Raw genomic sequence first — 17763 nt, 5'->3', positions numbered from 1 at the left:
TTTACACATTGCATACTGTATAAATATAGGTTTTATTAATAATGGGTGAAATCCCACAAATACAACTGGCATCCCTGTGTGATAGGAAGAATCTGTGGCAGGGTGAGAGGAGGTAGACAGGGATGTGTACAGGAAAAAGGGGGAAAATGAGCCCTGGGGGAGGGGAAATCAGAAGCAGAATGAGCCTGGACCCACCAGGAAAGCCAGACATGCTCTGAGTGTGTCTGCCACCTGGTGCCCAGGGCAGGCTGTTCTGATGCCCAGGGGCCACCTGCTGATAGGAACAGTGGAGGGACATGGACAGAAGTTTGAATGAGCAGCAGTGGCTGGGGAAGGGGTAGGGGAGTGAAGATGCCAGCATGGAGCACAAAAGGAGGGCCGTGGGTGGCAGTGGCCAAGGCCAACTTATGCCCGTGGTTGTGCTTGTGTTGGTTCCTGAACTCCAGGGATCTAGTGCCCTGTGCCACCCCTGGCTTGGGAGGAGGGAAGACTTGGGGGTAGACACCTGCAGTTCCTGTAGACACCCTGGGCAGCACCAGCCTTATCCTTAGAGTCTCCAACATGGGATCCCCAGGAGGAGGTTGGCACTGTCCTCCCACCAGCACCCGCCACCACCAGCATGCCACCATCACTCTTCCTCTGTGCTGTAGGGGATGGCAAGTGTGTAGGGCTGAGATGGCCTGTTCTCATGTATGTGCCTGTCACTCCGGAGAGGGAGGGAGCATCACGAGACCGTGCATGCGTTAGGGGCAGCGAGAAAGGAGGGTTGGGTCTTCCCCCACTCACCCCCCGCCCAGAATAAAGTGCATTCTCCAGTTCCAGTGGCAGGTGGGAGAGAAACACAGACATTATTGCACAGGTGCCACCAGGCCCTGCCCCCACCAAAGGTGATGGGGAGGGGGATGGGGCATCCCACAGCCCCAGGCCTCTCCAATCCCCAGGATTGGGAGTGGTGACCTAGACAGAAAACCCAGCTTCTGTCCTGGCAGATTGTCCAAGTCAGCCAGGGTCTAGGGGTGGAGAGAAGAGGAGGAGGAGGAAGAGACTTCCAGAGTCCTTCCCTGTCCATTTCAACATCCATAATGGGACTTCCAGTGGACTCCACCAGGGCCCAGCCCTGGAACTCCAACCTTATAGCAGCCCAGTTTACAAACACTTGTGTGGTGGGGACCCCCAGAGGGGGCCACTTTGGTCAGTTGTAAGTGGGGCCCTAGAGAGCCTAGGGCTCCCAGGCAGACAGCAGAGGAGGGTGCCATGGGCAGGAAGGAGGCAGCAGCCTCCCAGTAGTCTTTGCATGCAGGTGTTGGAGAGAGTAGGGAGGAAGCTACAAACCGCATCAACTTGGGAAGACTCCTGGGCATAGTGGGGAGGGCTGGAGCCCCCACTCCCAGAGCCCAGGCTGGGAGCGCAGTCCGACAGCCAGCCTGTGGAGGAGCCAAGGGAGGAGAGGATAGCCCCGCCAGGAACCAGTGCCCAAGTCTATAAGGTTAAAACAGTCCCAAAGGGCTGGGACTGGGGGCTTCCTGCTGCAGGGGCTGGGGTACAGGCTGGGGCAAGCCTCTATCTCTCTGACTTGACCCGGTAACGCAGCACAAGGTAGGCCAGCAGCCGCAGGGCTAGGAAGAAGATGCCCAAGACCAGGAAGTCCATGTAGAGCTTGGCATCCTCCACATCCAGCGCTCGGAGGATGCTCTGTGGCTCCCGGAACGGGCAGCGTTCCTCTAAACATGTCAGGTCTCCTCGCTCCATGCCATAGATCGTCAGGATCACACCCTCAAAGCCATACCTAGGCAGGCAGGGATATCAGATGGGATACAGCACACAGGGTCCCTGCTCTCTGAGAAAACTGCCAGAGCCCAGCTGCAATGCTGTCATCCCTGGGGTGCAGCCAGGGTGCCCCTGCCCAAAGGATAATGGGGCAGGCAGCAGACTTGGCACAACCCAGGAAGCCCTGGGTATGGACTCCTCCAGGGAGGAGCAGAGGCCAACGAGGAGGGCAGGGGTACTGACCTGACATAGGAGAGATAGGAGCTCCATTGCAGGTAAGTGGGGATGGTCTTGAAGCTGACAAAGAAGCCGGAGAACAAGAGGACAGGGATGGCGGTAACTGGGCCCACAAAAGTGGCCACCTAGAGGGGAAGGGAGGGGGCCAGGCCATCATAGGGGTGACCAGGACAAACCCAGGTTTCCTAGAGCTCCACCCTAACCCTTGCACCAGGCCCTGCTTCCTCCCACAAGACCTCATCCCGCCTTGGGAATTCCCAACTGCCAGCCCTCCCACCTGTAGGGAGTTGGAAGCAGCTCCGATCAGCAGCCCCAAAGATTGGGCCACCAAGGCGGTGGCGGTGGCCAGGGCTGAGAAGAGCAGGAAGCGGCTGGTCTCAGCGGGCTGGCCCGTCATCCAGTACACAATGCTGCAGTAGACCACCGGACACACCACCTGGGGAGTGGGCACGGGCTGGACAGTGGACTTCAAGCCAGGGGCACAGCAGCCAAGACCTCCACTCCACCCAAGGCTGGGCCTCTAGAATACCTATTCCCAGGGTGTCCATCCTGCCTCCACATTCTTGTTCAAGCTGTCCCCCAGATTGACACACGTCCCCTTCCTCCCTGGCCATATGACCATCACTTATCTCGTCTCACGTCTTCCGTTTGGTCCACCCTGACTGCTTCAGGCACGGTGACTCTTCCCTTCCCTGAGCGCCTAAAGTCCTTCCCACCTGGACCAGCTTATTCGTTATATTGTTAAGTAATTAACTCTCCATAGGAGAGCCATTTTGTTCCCCCATGAGCTACCAACTCCTAGGGGGCAGGGTCTGAGCTTACTAAGTACAGTCATCCACTGCTCAAGGGCATCCAACCAAGAGCCAACCAGGCCAAAGGTCCAGCTTGTGCTCTTCTTATTAAGCCAAGCATCCTGTGACGGTGTCCACCCTGAGGAAGGGGCACCTTTTTCTAACTTGCACAGATGTGCCCTATGGATTACTGGTGGCCCTGATGCTTGGAACAGGGTGGTATTGGCGGTAACAACAACCAGCTAACATTTGCTGGGCACTTCGTATGTGCCAAGCACTATTCTAAGTACTTTATATACATTAACTCATTCAATTCTAACAATCCTGAGGTAGATACTATTGTCATTCCATTTTATAGATGGGTACACTTTAGCAAAGAGAGTGATTTGCCCAAGATCTTGCAGGTAGCAAGTGGCAGTAAGAGCCAGAGAGTACACCATTTTCTACTGCCCCTAATAAGAGTTACAGAGTCATTTGTAGGGTTATTGCCCCCAGTAGCTGGGACTACAGGTGCACAACACCAAGCCTGGTTAATTTTTGTATTTTTAGTAGAGATGGGATTTCGCCATGTTGCCCAGGCTGGTGTCAAACTCCTGAGCTCAAGTGATCCTCCAGCCTCGGCTTCCCAAAGTGCTGGGATTACAGGCGCAAGCCACTGCGCCTGGCCCTATAGGGTTATTTTCATCATTTTCTGTTTGTTGTCAGTTGTCCTCACTAAAACATAAGTTCCACATGGTCAAGACTACATCAGTCTAGTTCAATGCTATATCCCTAGGGCCTGGTACAGAGCCTGGGCTATGACAGGTACTCACCATCTATTTGCTAAGTGAGTAGAAGGACAGCAAAGGAAGGAAAGTGACAAGTTTGAGGGAGGCAAGAAAGCAAGGATAGAAGGAGCAAGACAAGATGGAGGCAGTGGGCAGGTGGGAGGAAGAGGCCCACCTGAAAGGGCACGTCAGCCATGGTCTTGGCCAGGTAATACGCTTTGAGGCTGTACCAGTAGTTGAGGTGCTCCCTCATGAAGACCGCCATCTCTAAGGGGACTGAGGACACAGGCTGCTTAGGCACACCCGGCCGACACCCTGGCCCCTGCCCCAAGCCCCAGCACCCACACCCTTGCCCCATGCCCAGGGCAGCTCAGCTCACAGGTGAGCACAGTTGGCATGAGGGCGGCGAACATGAGGAACAGCATGGAGAAGAAGAGGCAGCCGGTGTTGTTGAAGACCTTGCTGGCATCGTCGCCAATATGCAGGTAGAGGAGGCCGATGAGCACGCCAATAACCACGTGGGACATGAACCGTAGGTGGGTCAGGACCTTGGGAGGGGTCATCACCAGGAGAGGGATGTGTTACAGGCCAGGGCAAGCCACAGAGTAGACTTGGAGTAGGAACTCGGAGCTGCCCTCACAGGCACAGAGACCCCACAGGCACATTGCAGGGCTGTGAGGGAGGGTCCCCATTCCCATTTCAGCTGCTGGGATCCTACAGCCCAAAAGGTCAGGCCTGTGCCAGCCTCCTCTCCCCCAGCCTGACGCCTCACCGTGTCCCTGAGGATGGACAGGAAGGTCCTCTTGAAGAGGATGCAGAACTGTGTGAGGGTGCTGGTGGCAAAGGTGTGGCTTTCAATGGGATCCACTTCCTGGGAAGAAGAAATTGGATCGGGATCAGGTGAGCCTACCCCATTCACCCACAGAACACCCAGCTCAGTGAATGAAAAACCTCAGAGCTCTTCCCCAGGGTAGGGGTCCTCCAGGTCTACAGAGAATCTTGTACCATTAAGTTGTGTACCTGAAAGCTAGGCTTAGGGGTATGAATCAGAGCAAGATTCAGACACAAAAAGGGGGCAAAAACTTGGGAGGGAGGAGATGGAAAGAAAGTAATGGACACCCGTGGTGGCTAATAATAGATCGGTTACTTTTTTAATCCATCAAAACACATGAACTCTAAGGGTATAATTCCTTTTTTGTTTTGTTTTGGGTTTTTTTTGTTTTGTTTTGTTTTGTTTTTGAGACGGAGTCTCGCTCTGTCGCCCAGTCTGGAGTGCAGTGGCGCAATCTCAGCTCACTGCAAGCTCCGCCTCCCTGGTTCACGCCATTCTCCTGCCTCAGCCTCCCGAGTAGCTGGGACTACAGGCGCCCGCCACCACGCCCGGCTAATTTTTGTATTTTTAGTAGAGATGGGGTTTCACCGTGTTAGCCAGGATGGTCTCCATCTCCTGACCCACCCGCCTCGGCCTCCCAAAGTGCTGGGATTACAGGCGTGGGCCACTGTATCCGGCCAGGTATAATTCCTTTATGCCACCAATTTTACAGTAATGTTATTTAATAATGATGATAATGACAACAATAACAACAAAAACTAATCAATCTGGTTTTCAGGGGTTACAGTGTCTCATTTAAGGAAGAGAACTAGCACTGGGCAGACGCCTGCTGTACCAGCTACAGTGCTAAGAGCTTTATGTGATTATCTAATTAGTCCTCCCAATCACCCTGTGAGGTGAGTATCATCATCTCTAAGTTAGAGAGAACAGTAAGCCACACTGGCCACTAAGCTGGGGACCATGTTGATCTTGCTTACCAGATGGGCACTATGCCAGGACCGAGGACAGCACACTGTAGCTGCTCAACAAGAACTTGCTGAATGAATAAGTCAATGAGGAAACTGGAGCTCAAGGAGGTTAAATAATGTGCCTAAGGTCACAGTGCTGTTCCTAGTAGGTCGATTCCAAGTCCTAGGTTCTTCCTAGCACCCATTGGTTGCAATGCCTCTGGGGAACAGCCTCTTTGGCAGGGCCACTGTCCATGGTCCAGTCTCCCCTCCCCAACTATGCCTGCTCTGCCCTCTCCACCCCTACTCACCGGAGGACAAGGAGGGCATGGGGCAGGGACCTCGTTCTTCTCAGGGCTGCTCTTCTTCTCAGCCATAGCGCACAGCCCATTCTGCACAGCCCTGAACAACATGGGGTTCAGGTCTCCATACTCGCCAGAGGCCACCTCGATGACTGGGGACACAGAGTGGAGAGCTCAGTTTAGATTCACACTCACTTCCCAAGGGCAAGTCAGTCCCGCCTTGGGTGTGTGGGGAAGGCAGGCGACGGTGAGATCTCTACCCCTAGGAGGCCTGAGTGCAAGACCAGAGACCCCAGGTTCGGCCCACTGCTGTTTCCCAGCCCCTACCAACAGACCCCCACTCACTGAAGTCAGCCGGGTTGTGGTAGGTGGGGCAATGCAAGCCGAGTCCCTTTAGATAGGGGATCAGGTTGGTGACCACGCCTTTGAAGATGCACTGACCCTGGCTCAGGATGTAGAGCTGCAGCAGAAAGAGAAGGGTAAGGAAGGAACAGCGGGCCAGGCACCCCTACTGACCCCCTTCCATCCCTCCATCTCAGGCCAATCCTCCTTGAGGCCTGGAGACACTCACCTTGTCAAACATCTCAAAGAGCTTGGCACTGGGCTGGTGGATGGTGCAGATGATGGTACGGCCCCCCTGTGCCAGGGACTTCATGAGGGACACCACTTGGAAACAAGAGGCGCTATCCAGACCACTGTCCAGAGAGAGGCCACCAGGGGGCCACGTGAGGTGGGTGAGGCCAAAAGAAGGGAGTGTCTGGGGCGGGGCAGCTGCTGTGAAGGGGATGAAGCTGGCAGGAAGAGGGCACTCTGGCCGCATCTGTATCCTTTACGGTTCAGGCACTTGGAGGGATACCCAGAAGCCAAGAGCACTGTTCAGTTTCATAAGCATATATTGAGGACCTGTTGTATGCCAGGCACTGGGATTACAATGATGCATAAATAAGACATAGACTCTGGTCTGGAAGGAGAGAGAGACAAGCACACAGATGATTTTGGGTAATGTGGAAAGTGCTGTAGCAACACTGGGTGAAAGAGGGGGCGGATTCAGCTCAGCTGTAGCAGGTGTTGGAGGGTAGTCAGAGAAGGTTCCTGAGCGAGCCCAGGAGTAAGAGCTAAGCAGGTGAAGGGGAGAGGGCAGGCACAGTGGTGAAGGGCATTCCAGCAGAAGACACAGCATGGGCAAAGCTTAGAGGCATGAAACATGTGGCTTGACCAGGGAATTACAAGCAACTCAGTATTATTAGAGCATAAAGTACATGACTTGAGGCTGGAGAAGTAGGTTCAGACCAGGCCCTTGTAAGTCACCTGACTTTATTTCGAGGACAAGTCAGAAAGGAAACACTGCATGTTTTAAGCAGGGGAGTGAGCACTGCAGACTTGTCTTTAGAAAGTTCACTCTGTCCGGGCACGGTGGCTCACGCCTGTAATCCCAACACTTTGGGAGGCCAAGGCGGGTGGATCACCTGAGGTCAGAAGTTCAAGACCAGCCTGACCAACATGGTGAAACCCCATCTCTACTAAAAATACAAAAACTAGCTGGGTGTGGTGGTACACGCCTGTAATTCCAGCTACTCAAGAGGCTGAGGCAGGAGAATCGCTTGAACCCGGGAGTCAGAGGTTGCAGTGAGCCGAGATTGTGCCACTGCACTCCAGCCTGGGTGACAGAGCGAGACTCCATCTTAAAAAAATAAAAGAAAGTTCACTGTAGCTGCAGTTTGGAGAAAGGATTGACTGGGAGACACTGGAGACAAGCAGATAAGAATCTGTTGCTGTCCTGAACTTAACATCAACATTAGAGATGGGGCAGGGCAAATCTGAGAGATATCAAAAGGAGGCAGAATCAACAGGACTTGGTGACTGATGGCTGAGGGTGACTGGAGAGGGAGGTGTCAATCAAGGAGGACACCTAGATCTCTGCCCAGGCGAAGGATGGGGCAGCTCACAGCAACAGAATTGGCAAGGGTGGAGATGAGGAAGAAGCCCTTATCTTGGCCCCAGGAGGCTGTGAACAGAGGCTCTGGATCATGGAGAAGATGCAGCCTCCAGCCCTGGCTCAGGGCCGAGAGGAGAGGGGTATCCTGGTGGGAAAGGGTGGAGAGAACTACCTGGTGGGCTCATCAAAGAACATGACAGGCGGGTTGTTGACCAGCTCCAGGGCGATGGCCAGACGCTTCCTCTGCCCGCCAGAGAGCAGGGCTGTCCTCGTGTGGGAGCACGACATCAGGCCCAGTGCCGTCAGGATCTCTGTCACCTGGCCCCACCCCACCCATGCCAGGTCAGCTTCGGAGTCTCTGCTTCCCCCAGGCACCACCCCAGCTTCAAAAAGCATCTCCCTTAAGTGCATTGTCTCGGCCTAGGCCACCACTCTCCCACTCCCAGCTCGGGGCCTTGAGCTCAGCAGCACCACAAAAGGGAGTGGTCCCACTGCCTCCCTTCCCCACTCACCAGCTCCTTCTTCACCTCCTGCTTCTCACTCAGCTTCAGGTTAGCAGAGACCTGGGGCCCAGAGAGTAAGCAAGAAAAGTATGTGTGGGAGGGAGCTCTGCCTTGAACCCTCCGCCAATGGTGAAGGTGGCGACAGCAGACAGAGGGGGTTGCTGGGAGGAGGGGTGACTATCCAGCCCTCACCATCATGGCTTCCAACACCGTGAGGTGCGGCAGCAGCATGTCATCTTGCATGATGTAGCAGGACATCTTGCGGAAGGTCCTCAGCTCCCGTGGCCTTCCATTAACCAGGATCTGCCCCTTCATTCCAGACTCCCTGCAGGGATGTGGGTTGAGGATGGGGGTCAATGCCCTTTCAGAATACCTTCTGTGTTCCCCAAGGGATACTTCTTCCTGAGTCCTGCCTCCATTCCACCCCAGTCTCTTCCTTACCTGTATCCTGCCAAGATGTTCATGAATGTAGACTTGCCAGCCCCTGAGGGGCCCATGATGCCAATCAGCTCCCGGCGGCAGAATTTACCTGAGAGGCACTTGAGAAGGGTCTTATAACCTGCAGTGAGGTGGGGAGGAATTTTTAGTCAGGCTGCAGTGAACAGAGGTACCCCCAAAATTCTTAGGAGCAGCCATGGCTATCAGTGAAATAGGTAGCCCCTACTCAGTGTGATTGGGTTAGGATGGAGGAACAACCCTTATAGCCCCGGCAGGAACCCATCCCTCTCATCCCGTCCCCCTAGAAACGACCACCACTAATATCAAAGTACCAGAGGCAACAATCCTCTTCTGAAAGGCGTGGGAAAATCCACACATCTCATGGATGGGCGTGGAGAGGGGATCAAAGCTGTAGAAGACCCTGGTCCTCTTCTGTAATCACAGTGGCCACTGTCTCGCCCCCTCCAGGAAAACTCCCACTACTACAGCCCGAGCTGGCTGCCTATCCCCTGTGTTTCCATAGCACCTCTCCTATGCCAGCATGTTTGTTACTTGATGTGCCTGTCACTTGACCAGCTCTCCCAGCCTCTTAGTCAGTGAGCTCCTTGGGGGCAGTTCTCACTCATCTTGGTAATCTCAGCAGACTGTCTGGCCTGTAGTAGATGTTCAGTAAGTGTCTGTTCCACGAGCGTGAGTTCTCAGAGCTTTTCCCTAATTCAGAAAAAGCCTTCTTCTTTGCGCTCTCTCTGCCTACCAGGCTTGTTTCTCTAGCCCCTACATGGCCCAGTAAAATCTCACCTTTCATTCATTCATTGGAAGGCAGCATATGCATTTAGAGCACGGTTTGGAGTCAGGTGGATCTGGGTTCAAATTCTGGCTCCACACTTACCAGCTGTGTGACCTCGGGCAAGTTGCTTAACCTCTCTGAGCTCCAGGTCCCTCATCTGTAAAATGAGGATGATAGTACCTATCTCATAGGGTTGTTGTAAAGATTCAATGAGATAATATATGTAAAACACATGACACAGTGCTTGGCACATAGAATGCATTAAAAAGTGACATTTTACTATTAATTCTACTTGATAAATGCTTATTGATATCTACTATATACCAAGCTCTGTACCAAACACTGGATAAAAATTGAGGAAGACACAGTTTTTATATTCAAGAAGGTCATAGTCTAAGTAAGACAGAAAAACAAAAAAAATCTATGAAGAAAAATAAAATTAGGGTTATAACAGAAGTACAAAAAATGTGCTGTGAGAACGCAAAGAATGGAATTGACGTGAGTCGGGGGGAAAGAGGAAAATCAAGACTGGCCTCATGGAAGAGGTGGCGTTTGAGCTAAGCCTTGAAGGATGAGCAGGATTCTAAAAGGCAAAGGGAAAGCAGAGGCCTTCTAGGCTTTGGGAGGAAAAGCTCTGTGATATAAAAGTATGTGTATATACACTCACAATCCAAGGAACAGAGGGCAGAGCCTACATGGAGTGACCTGGTGAGACATGGAAGTGGAGGGGAAGGATGAAGCCACCAAGGAGGGCCCTGCCTGCGATGCTGGCAGACCTGCCTCATAGGTGAGGACGTGCCAATCCCTTACCTAGCACCTTGCTCATTGCTGCCCCCTCTAACCCCCACAGAGCCCAAGTCCCTCCCCACTCCACCTCCTTAGTGTCCTTAGTGGAGACAGTGAAGGGATGGCATATTTAACCCTCCCTCCACGACACCCAGGACTGTGTTCTGGGCCCGGCTTTCCCTCTGGATGCTTCCCGTCAGAAGGGGGAGCAGCTCCTGCCCGCTGCCAGGTCCTGATCACAGCAACTGCCTGGATGGTACCCATGGTTTACAAAGCTTCAACTGTTTCTCTAACAACATGGGTGAGGCAACTGGGGCCCAGAGACATCTAGTGACTCACCCAGGGTCACACAGCAAGTTCTTTCCTGGGAGAGGGAAGCCGTGGGCTCTAGCCCTCTGCCTCAGTCCTCCTCGCCATCAATCAGAGACATTTGGTGGCGCACTCCAGCATATGCCTTTCAGAGCCACTCACAGGAAGTGATCTCTTGCAGGAGAAGAAACTGGCAACGACGAACCTTCCCCTCAATTAATTACAGTAGCTGGTTGAACACTGATGCCTAACACAAAAGTCATCTTACATTTGCCTCTCACAGATACCGTCTCAGCTGAGCTTCACACAAGTCTGTGTATTCTTATCATCCCTGTTTACAGATGAGAAAAGCAAGGCCAAGAGCGGGTAGGCAGCCTGCCCAAGGTCACACAGCTTATAAGTGACTAGGAACCCATGTCCCACAACTGCTCAGCACAGAAGAGGCCAGCCAGGCCCTTGGGCTGGAGAGACACTGGTATTCTAGTTCTGCCGCCGTCAGTAGCTCTCTTTGCAATTTTGTCAAGTCACTTAATCTTTAAGTCCTCTGACTCCTCATCTATAAGGGAAGGATAGTAATATCTAATCCCAAGGACTTACAGGGTTATTACGAATGTTAAGTGAGATTATTAAAAATAATTAAAAGGAAGCTGTTTTGAAAAAATAAGAAATGCTATACATAATTAGGGGAGATGATAACAAATCCTTACTTGGGAAAGGTAGAACTCTCCCTCTCTCCATCCTCCTTGCTTTCTTTCCTTTCTGCCTACCCTTAATTGCTTTCTGTCCTCTGGAGAAGGGGAGAGGGATTCAATGGAAAACAGAAGTCATCGAGGGGAGGGCAGGGGGCAGAGAAAGGGACAACGGATGAAAGAAATGGCAAAATGGCCAGTACAGCAGAATGAGGCTGGCAAGGTCAAAAGGAGGGAAGGGCCAGGTGAGGGATATCAATCTGTGGCTGGCACATGGAAGCAACTGGAGAGCTGGCCCGTCTAGACACATTTTAAAAAAAAATCTTAGTTTCTTAAAATTATGAGGAAATGAGAGGGCTAAAGAAATAACAACTGCCTCATGATTTTGCCCAGAGCTGGTCTCAGGACCGAAAGAGGTTGCTTAGGGACAGGGCCCACTGGGCAGGAAGCCCAGATGCCTCAGTTTCCATTGGTTCAGCCATGTGACCTTTTGGTCACTCATGGGAGTGAGGGTTTGGAGAGTGCAGAGGCAGATCATGCTCAGCCCTGCTCTGAAGCACCCCAAACCTATTTGTTGAACCTCAGAGAACAATGTCCCAGCCCCACCCCTGGCCCACACCCAGGCTCTGGGAAACAGCCTCAGCTTCCCTACTAGCAGCTAAAGCTGCTCAGGGTAGGGGCTGCAGGGGCTAGTCAGGGTTCAGGGGAACCTGTCCTCATGGGCGGGAAGAGGGAAGTGATGGGACTGCTGTACAGGGAAGAGAGAGAAAGGAACAATGCATGGAGAGCTGGGAAACCGGGCTTCTGGTCTCAGCTCTACCACTTACTAGCTGTGTGACATTGGTCAAGTTACTCAACTTCCCTGGGCCTCAGTTTCCTTATTAGTAACATGGAGATGACATCTATCCTGCCAAACCGCCACCCTCCCTGCTTCTGAGCACTGTGGTAAGAATGGAATAAGATGACAGGAATGAGAACGTCTTTATAATTAGGTCCAAGGGTATTGCTCAACCCTGCAGACACAGCCCCCTACTTTTTCATACCAGCCCTCACAGGTAGGAATCCTCCATAAACAAAAGAAGGAAAACTCATCAAGGACCACTCAAGGACCAGAGGTCACGGGATCTCTTTAGAAGATACAGCTTCAATAACCAATTGCACCTAGTATCCCATGGTGCTCACAGGTGTGGGGGAGCGTAGATCCTGACACCCCAAGAGTGCACAGTGAGCAACGGGCTGGGGCCCAGATTTTAGTGTTTCCACAGAGCCCACTGGTGCAGGACTTTCCGAACATGGGACACCCAGGCCTCATGCTTCTGGAGAGGCAACTCAGAGAGGGCCCACGGACTCCCCCTACCAGGCTGTTCCCTACCCCTTTTGCGCCAGCAGGGCCCCTCCCGCACGGAATAGGACAGCTCCACGAACTCGATGTCCACGGCTGAGCGCTTGGGTAGGTGGGAGAAGCGCTGGGCTTCAGTGATGTGGTTCTCCACCTTCTTCAGGTGCGTGGTCAGCACAGGGGGTTCCGCCCCGTCCTCCAGCGTCACGGCCATGGCCACAGCCCCCGGCCCTAGTCCACAGCCCACGGCCTCCAGCGCCTTCTCCGCCATCACGCCGCCGACCTGCAAGGGGAGGGCCTGCTCAGTTTGGGGCAGACCACCGAGCCCGGCTCAAAGCTCCCTGGCGTTCTAATGCTTCCCCCGCCCCCACTGCCCACCTCCTTCTCGGGGCAGATCCGCGACTGTTAGCCCCGCACTCTGCCCCCGCCCCCCACTCTCCGCACGGAGACGCTCAGTCCCGGGCAGCCCAGCTCCAGCCTGACCCCAGCCCGTCCCCTTGAAGCCCTCAATCGCTCCTTCCTCCCGGCGGCTTCTCTAATCTCCTTACCCCGCAGGCCAGCAGCCCCTGGGGACTGAAGGAATAGGGGGCGGGGGAGAAGAGGCAGCCGGCAGAGGCTGCCCGCTCTAGGAGGTCGGGGTAGCAGGGTGAGTGCAGGGCGGACCAGGGGAAGGCGGAGAGGAGGAGGCTTCAGGCCTCCGGCTGCGTCCCACTCCCCATCCCTTGGCGCGACGCCCAGGCCGGCCCCTCCCGCCGGCACCCCCGGGCCCGCGTGCCCCGGGCTGTCCCCAAAGCCAGGCGCACCACCCGGACTCAAAACTAAGCGCCCCACGGCAGCTCAAGCCCCCGCCCCATCTCCCGCATGCCTAGTCACCTTGACGCGCCCCCGGGCCGGTGCGGGGCCGGGATGCTCAGCGCTGCCACGGACCGGGGACGGAGAGCCGGGGCTCCCCTTACCTGCCTCGGGCTGCGGCACCCGCGTCCCGGCTCCCGGTCCCGGCGGCCCGGGCCGGGGCGGGGCCGGGGCGGGGCAGGCGAGGCAGGAGGGCCGGCCCTCGGCTCGGAGGAGACGGCAAGGATGGTGAGAGGCGGTTGGGGTCGCGCCCTGACTCTGCTGGGCTGTGCACACCCGCTTCCCAGAGCCTGGTCCCGGACGCTGTGTCCTCCGAGCCCGCGGGGCGACTGCGCTCTCCTACCAGCTACTGCTCGCCGGTCCCGCCGTTCTTAAAGGGCCCGCGCCGCCCGGCAGCCCGCGGGGGGCGAGGACGGCAAAGGAGAGAGCAGCGCTTGCGGCGCGGGGGCCGGAGGAGGTGCAGGGGTGAACTCAGGACTGGGGGTTGATGGCAAAGGGCCGACTTGGAGGCAGTGAGGAAAGGAGAGCTGGAGTCACTCCGTGGGGACAAGTCCCTGGAAGACAGATTAGGCAAGGGTGTTGGGGGTGGGGGAAAGTGGAGGGATTGTAAAGGTGTCAGTCTGTCTTCACACACGATACCAGTCCCCCAACAATTTCCCTCAGTTCCAGCCCATGAATGAGCGCAGGCCTCCCTCCAGGAATCCCCAAACGAGGTGCAAAGGCTTTCAAAAACGCAGGAGCCTTGGGACATTGGAACATCCTCCTGTCTCCCCATTCACACTTTCTCTGAGTTAGGACACTAATAAAGAAGGGAAAATGGCAGCAGCTTTGGGAGAGCCTGCAGTAGCTCCAGAGTTAAACTGGAACCCAGTGCTCAGCCTGCTCCGACTGTAGTCACCTAGCCAGATACAGGCCTTCAAGACAGGCACATGCCATATCCTGGAGGGACCTGTGTGCCAGGGCATGCACAGGGCTCGCAGACATGCCCTGGGCATCTCATGCACCTGCACATTCTCTCCCTTGCCCCCAAAGCCTTCAAATGTAGGTCCCCAGAACACACTTGGGGCTTTCCCCTGCTCTGCCCCTTTCTCAGCCAATTCCTCTTGGCCCTTGCCTGTCCCAGCCACTATGTCTTCAAGGGGTAAGTAGGTTAGCTAGCCAAGACACGTGATCTGAGCTTTTAAGTTCCCACCTGTCACACAGCAGAGACGATGGGGAGGGAAGGCTCTGAGGCTGCTGGTGTGACTGCCACCGCTGAGGCTTCTCCTTACTGCAGCAGTTGAGGGTTACTAGCAGTCAAACCTCTCCCCTGCTGGCCCCCCTCCCAACCACCTCTCCACAGCCCTAAAAGCTGGCGATCCCTGGAGGATTTCTCTAGGCCCCGCCCTGTTACTCTGAGGTTTGTGTGGGGTTTGGATCCAGTCTTTCCTATCTTCCCCCAACTCCATGCCCCACATCACCACCATTCCTCAGGACCAACCTCCTGTTCTCCAGATGGACCCTCCATTCTCCAAGTCAACTTCTCATCAGCTACTATAGACCTCCCCATCCCCCAACAGTTGCATTTATTAACTACTTTGTACCAGGCATTATGTTATTTAATCTTCACAATATCCCTATGCGACAGGTTTTACAACCCCCCTTTAGAGATGAAAAACTGAGGCATAGGGAGGTTAAGCAATAGTTGGTGGCAAAGCAGGGCTTGAATCCCAAAGTCCCTGATTTTACCCTGCTAATTGGGCCTCTCAGAACCTTATTCCCAAATGGACTGTCTCCCTCTATTTTCTAGACAGGCTCTTCATCCTCCTGAGATAACCTCCATGTCTTAATGCCACCCAGCTTTATTCTTTGGCACACAACTTTCTTTCTTTCTTTCTTTCTTTCTTTCTTTCTTTCTTTCTTTCTTTCTTTCTTTCTTTCCTTTCTTTCTTTCTCTTTCTTTCTTTCTCTCTCTCTCTTTCTCTCTTTCTTTGCTTCTTTCTTTCTTTCTGATATAGTCTCGTTCTGTCACCCAGGCTGGAGAGCAGTGGTGAGATCTCAGCTCACTGCAGCCTCTGCCTCCCAGGTTGAAACGATTCTCCTGCCTCGGCCTCCTGAGTAGCTGGAACTACAGGCACACACCACCACACCCGGCTAATTTTTGTATTTTTTGTAGAGATGGGGTTTCACCATGTTGACCAGGCTGGTCTCGAATTCCTGACCTCAAGTGATCCTCCCGCCTCAGCCTCCCAAAGTGCTGTGATTACAGGCATGAGCCACCACACTCAGCAGATTAAGATTTTTTATTCTCAAGAGTAGACTATAGGCCAGGCATGGTGGCTCACACCTGTAATCCCAGCACTTTGGGATGCCAAGGTGGGTGGATCACTTTAGGTCAGGAGTTCGAGACCAGCCTGGCCAAGATGGCGAGACCCCATCTCTACTAATATTACAAAAATTAGCTGGGCATGGTGGCTCATGCCTATAATACTTTGGAGGCTAGGGCACAAGAATCACTTGAACCTGGGAGGCGGAGGTTGTAGTGAGCCAAGATCGTGCCACTGCACTCCAGCCTGGGCGACAGAGCAAGACTCTGTCTCAAAAAATAAAATTAAATAAATAAATAAGCCAGACGTGGTGGTGTGTGCCTGTAGTCCCGGCTACTCGGGAGGCTGAGGCAGGAGGATCACTTGAGCCTGGGATGATAAGGCTGCAGTGAGCCATAATCATGCCATTGCATAGACCATACATTCTTACTTCCCAGGTCACACCACGGTTCAGGCTCATTTCCTTCCCCCAGATGAATCTTCCTTTCCTTAGCAAACGAGGGGAAACTACATTTATTGAATGTCTACTACCTGCTAGGCACATAGCATGGAGATATGGTTGATCTCTGAGTAAGGGGCTAGGCCAGTCTTTCTCCACTACATTCCTAGAACTTGGACACAGAAATTGCAGTCAAAACTGGGTGTGGTGGCTCATGCCTGTAATCCCAGCACTTTGGGAAGCTCAGGCAGGAGGATTGCTTGAGCCCAGGATTTTGAGACCAGCCTAGGCAATGTAAGGAGACCCTCTCTATACAAAAAAAAAATTAAAAAATTAAAAATTAAAAAAAAGAAAATGCACTCCATAAATACCCATTGACTGAACAGTCTAACCAGTCCTTGTAACAATGTTATGAAGTCAGTATTATTCTTCCATGTTTTAGATAAGGAACTGAAGCTCAGAAATGTTAAGTACAAGTATGAAGTACATAGCTAGTGTGATGGATGTAGGTATTCAAATCCAGGTCTCAGTGATTCTAAACCATGGCTTTATCTACGATGTCAAACTTCCTCATTACCTATTGTCACCTTCCCACTTTATAAAGCAGATTTTCTCAGTTGCCCTGAACAGACCTTTCTCATTCTAGGATATAGAACCTTTCCAGCCTTCCAGAGGTCCTAGCACAGACCTTCTCCATCCTAGAGATACTCCCCACTCCCACCACATATCCCCCAAGATGGACCGTTGATTCCTGAGAACACACACTTCCAACTCCTAGAGTAGACCTTGTAACTCAAGAGCAGTGGTCCTCAAATTTGAGCGCACATCCAAATCATCTAGAGAGCTTGTTAAAACACAGATTAGATTACTGGGCTCCACTCCCAGAGTTTCTGATTCAGTATCTGGGGTGGAGCCAGAGAATTTACATCTCTAATAAGTTCTCAAGTGATGCTGATGCTGCTAGTCCAGGGACCACCTTCTGAGAACCATTGCTTAAAAGAACCTTCTTTGCTTAGTCTAGACCTCCCATCCCCAGAACAAACCCTCTATTTCTCACCAGACTTTCCCTCAACGTCCAGGTGGATCCTCCCCTATTCCTCCAAACAGACCTCCTCCCATTCCCTGAGACGGATTCTCCCCTTTCTCTAGGATTCTCCCAACTCCCACCCCAGATCTCCTCACCCCCACCATCAGGACAGAGCCTCCATCCAGGGCATGTTTCCCTAGGCCCAGACATGTAAGGGTTGATGATAACTGGCTTAAGAGGAGCAAGGCAGAAGCAGAAAATTCCCATCTCAGCTTAGTGCCAGGAGCTAATCTAACAGACACAGGCTGCTGTGGGCAGGGATTTGTGGGAGAAGCAGTTGTTAAGCAGCTTTGTGGGCCTATGGAAAAAAAGGAGGGTTAACAGGGTCCTGTGGGAGCTGGAAAGGAATTCGACTGGGGGGATATTGGAACTGACCAGTTCTGCTTCCACCATCCCAGGTCTCTCTTCCACTGTGCCTCCCTTGCCCACCATGACGGTCTGTCACCTCTGGACAGAATGGTTTTAAAGTGTATTTGTTAATGAAGGCCCCTCTGCTGGTCACTTGGAGAGATGCAGCCCAGGACCAGGAAGGAGGGGTGGATAAAGAGGAGACTGACTACAAACCCCCACCCTGCCCCACCCACTCAGCTGGCTTCAGGGTTCCTGCCGGTACGCAGCAGCAAAGCTCTCCAGTCCTCCTGTGGCTCCC

At 53.4% G+C, this 17763-nt stretch overlaps 1 protein-coding gene across 5 annotated transcripts, besides 4 other annotated features; it reads right to left on the bottom strand.

Annotated features, from left to right (window-relative positions):
• ABCG4 (ATP binding cassette subfamily G member 4) lies at positions 1 to 13615 on the bottom strand. Of its 5 annotated transcripts, NM_001348192.2 has the most exons (16): positions 13387 to 13615; positions 12464 to 12713; positions 9410 to 9464; positions 8524 to 8641; positions 8275 to 8407; positions 8092 to 8142; positions 7752 to 7897; positions 6215 to 6338; positions 5989 to 6103; positions 5653 to 5795; positions 4335 to 4433; positions 3942 to 4110; positions 3738 to 3838; positions 2282 to 2440; positions 2011 to 2129; positions 14 to 1786 (listed from the first exon to the last, which is right to left on the bottom strand). In NM_001348192.2, exons 3-16 carry the CDS (start codon positions 9462 to 9464, stop codon positions 1561 to 1563), a joined length of 1758 nt encoding a protein of 585 aa, NP_001335121.1. In that variant the 5' UTR covers positions 12464 to 12713; positions 13387 to 13615; the 3' UTR covers positions 14 to 1560. The 5 variants fall into 5 exon arrangements, with proteins under 5 accessions (NP_001135977.1, XP_011541254.1, NP_001335121.1 ...); NM_001142505.1 differs by lacking the exons at positions 9410 to 9464; positions 13387 to 13615 and adding an exon at positions 12979 to 13078 and having other exon boundaries at positions 1 to 1786; NM_022169.5 differs by lacking the exon at positions 9410 to 9464 and having other exon boundaries at positions 13304 to 13615.
• Positions 3597 to 4096: an enhancer, noted in NCBI's record as "H3K4me1 hESC enhancer chr11:119029281-119029780 (GRCh37/hg19 assembly coordinates)". NCBI's record gives its function as "activates a minimal SCP1, AML or CMV promoter by ChIP-STARR-seq in primed H9 embryonic stem cells {active_cell/tissue: H9 hESC(primed)}" and the evidence as "EXISTENCE:reporter gene assay evidence [ECO:0000049][PMID:30033119]".
• Positions 5520 to 6020: an enhancer, noted in NCBI's record as "H3K4me1 hESC enhancer chr11:119027357-119027857 (GRCh37/hg19 assembly coordinates)". NCBI's record gives its function as "activates a minimal SCP1, AML or CMV promoter by ChIP-STARR-seq in naive and primed H9 embryonic stem cells {active_cell/tissue: H9 hESC(naive and primed)}" and the evidence as "EXISTENCE:reporter gene assay evidence [ECO:0000049][PMID:30033119]".
• Positions 13437 to 13516: a silencer, noted in NCBI's record as "silent region_3971". NCBI's record gives its function as "represses an Ori minimal core promoter by ATAC-STARR-seq in GM12878 lymphoblastoid cells {active_cell/tissue: GM12878}" and the evidence as "EXISTENCE:reporter gene assay evidence [ECO:0000049][PMID:35858748]".
• Positions 14174 to 14233: an enhancer, noted in NCBI's record as "active region_5626". NCBI's record gives its function as "activates an Ori minimal core promoter by ATAC-STARR-seq in GM12878 lymphoblastoid cells {active_cell/tissue: GM12878}" and the evidence as "EXISTENCE:reporter gene assay evidence [ECO:0000049][PMID:35858748]".

The sequence above is a fragment of the Homo sapiens genome, chromosome 11, assembly GCF_000001405.40.
Source record: "Homo sapiens chromosome 11, GRCh38.p14 Primary Assembly".
NCBI classification, from domain to species: domain Eukaryota; kingdom Metazoa; phylum Chordata; class Mammalia; order Primates; family Hominidae; genus Homo; species Homo sapiens.
This window is presented reverse-complemented; position numbering and strand designations above follow the sequence as displayed.

Bases quoted from the DNA above. Each gene is read 5' to 3' on its own strand.
- ABCG4 (NM_022169.5), bottom strand. From the start codon at position 12,701: ATGGCGGAGAAGGCGCTGGAGGCCGTGGGCTGTGGACTAGGGCCGGGG. The intron at 7,898-8,091 runs GTGAGTGGGGAA...GGGTGGGGCCAG, and splicing joins AGGAGGTGAAGAAGGAGCTG to GTGACAGAGATCCTGACGGC. The intron at 1,787-2,010 runs GTCAGTACCCCT...CTGCCTGCCTAG, and splicing joins TCCTATCTCTCCTATGTCAG to GTATGGCTTTGAGGGTGTGA.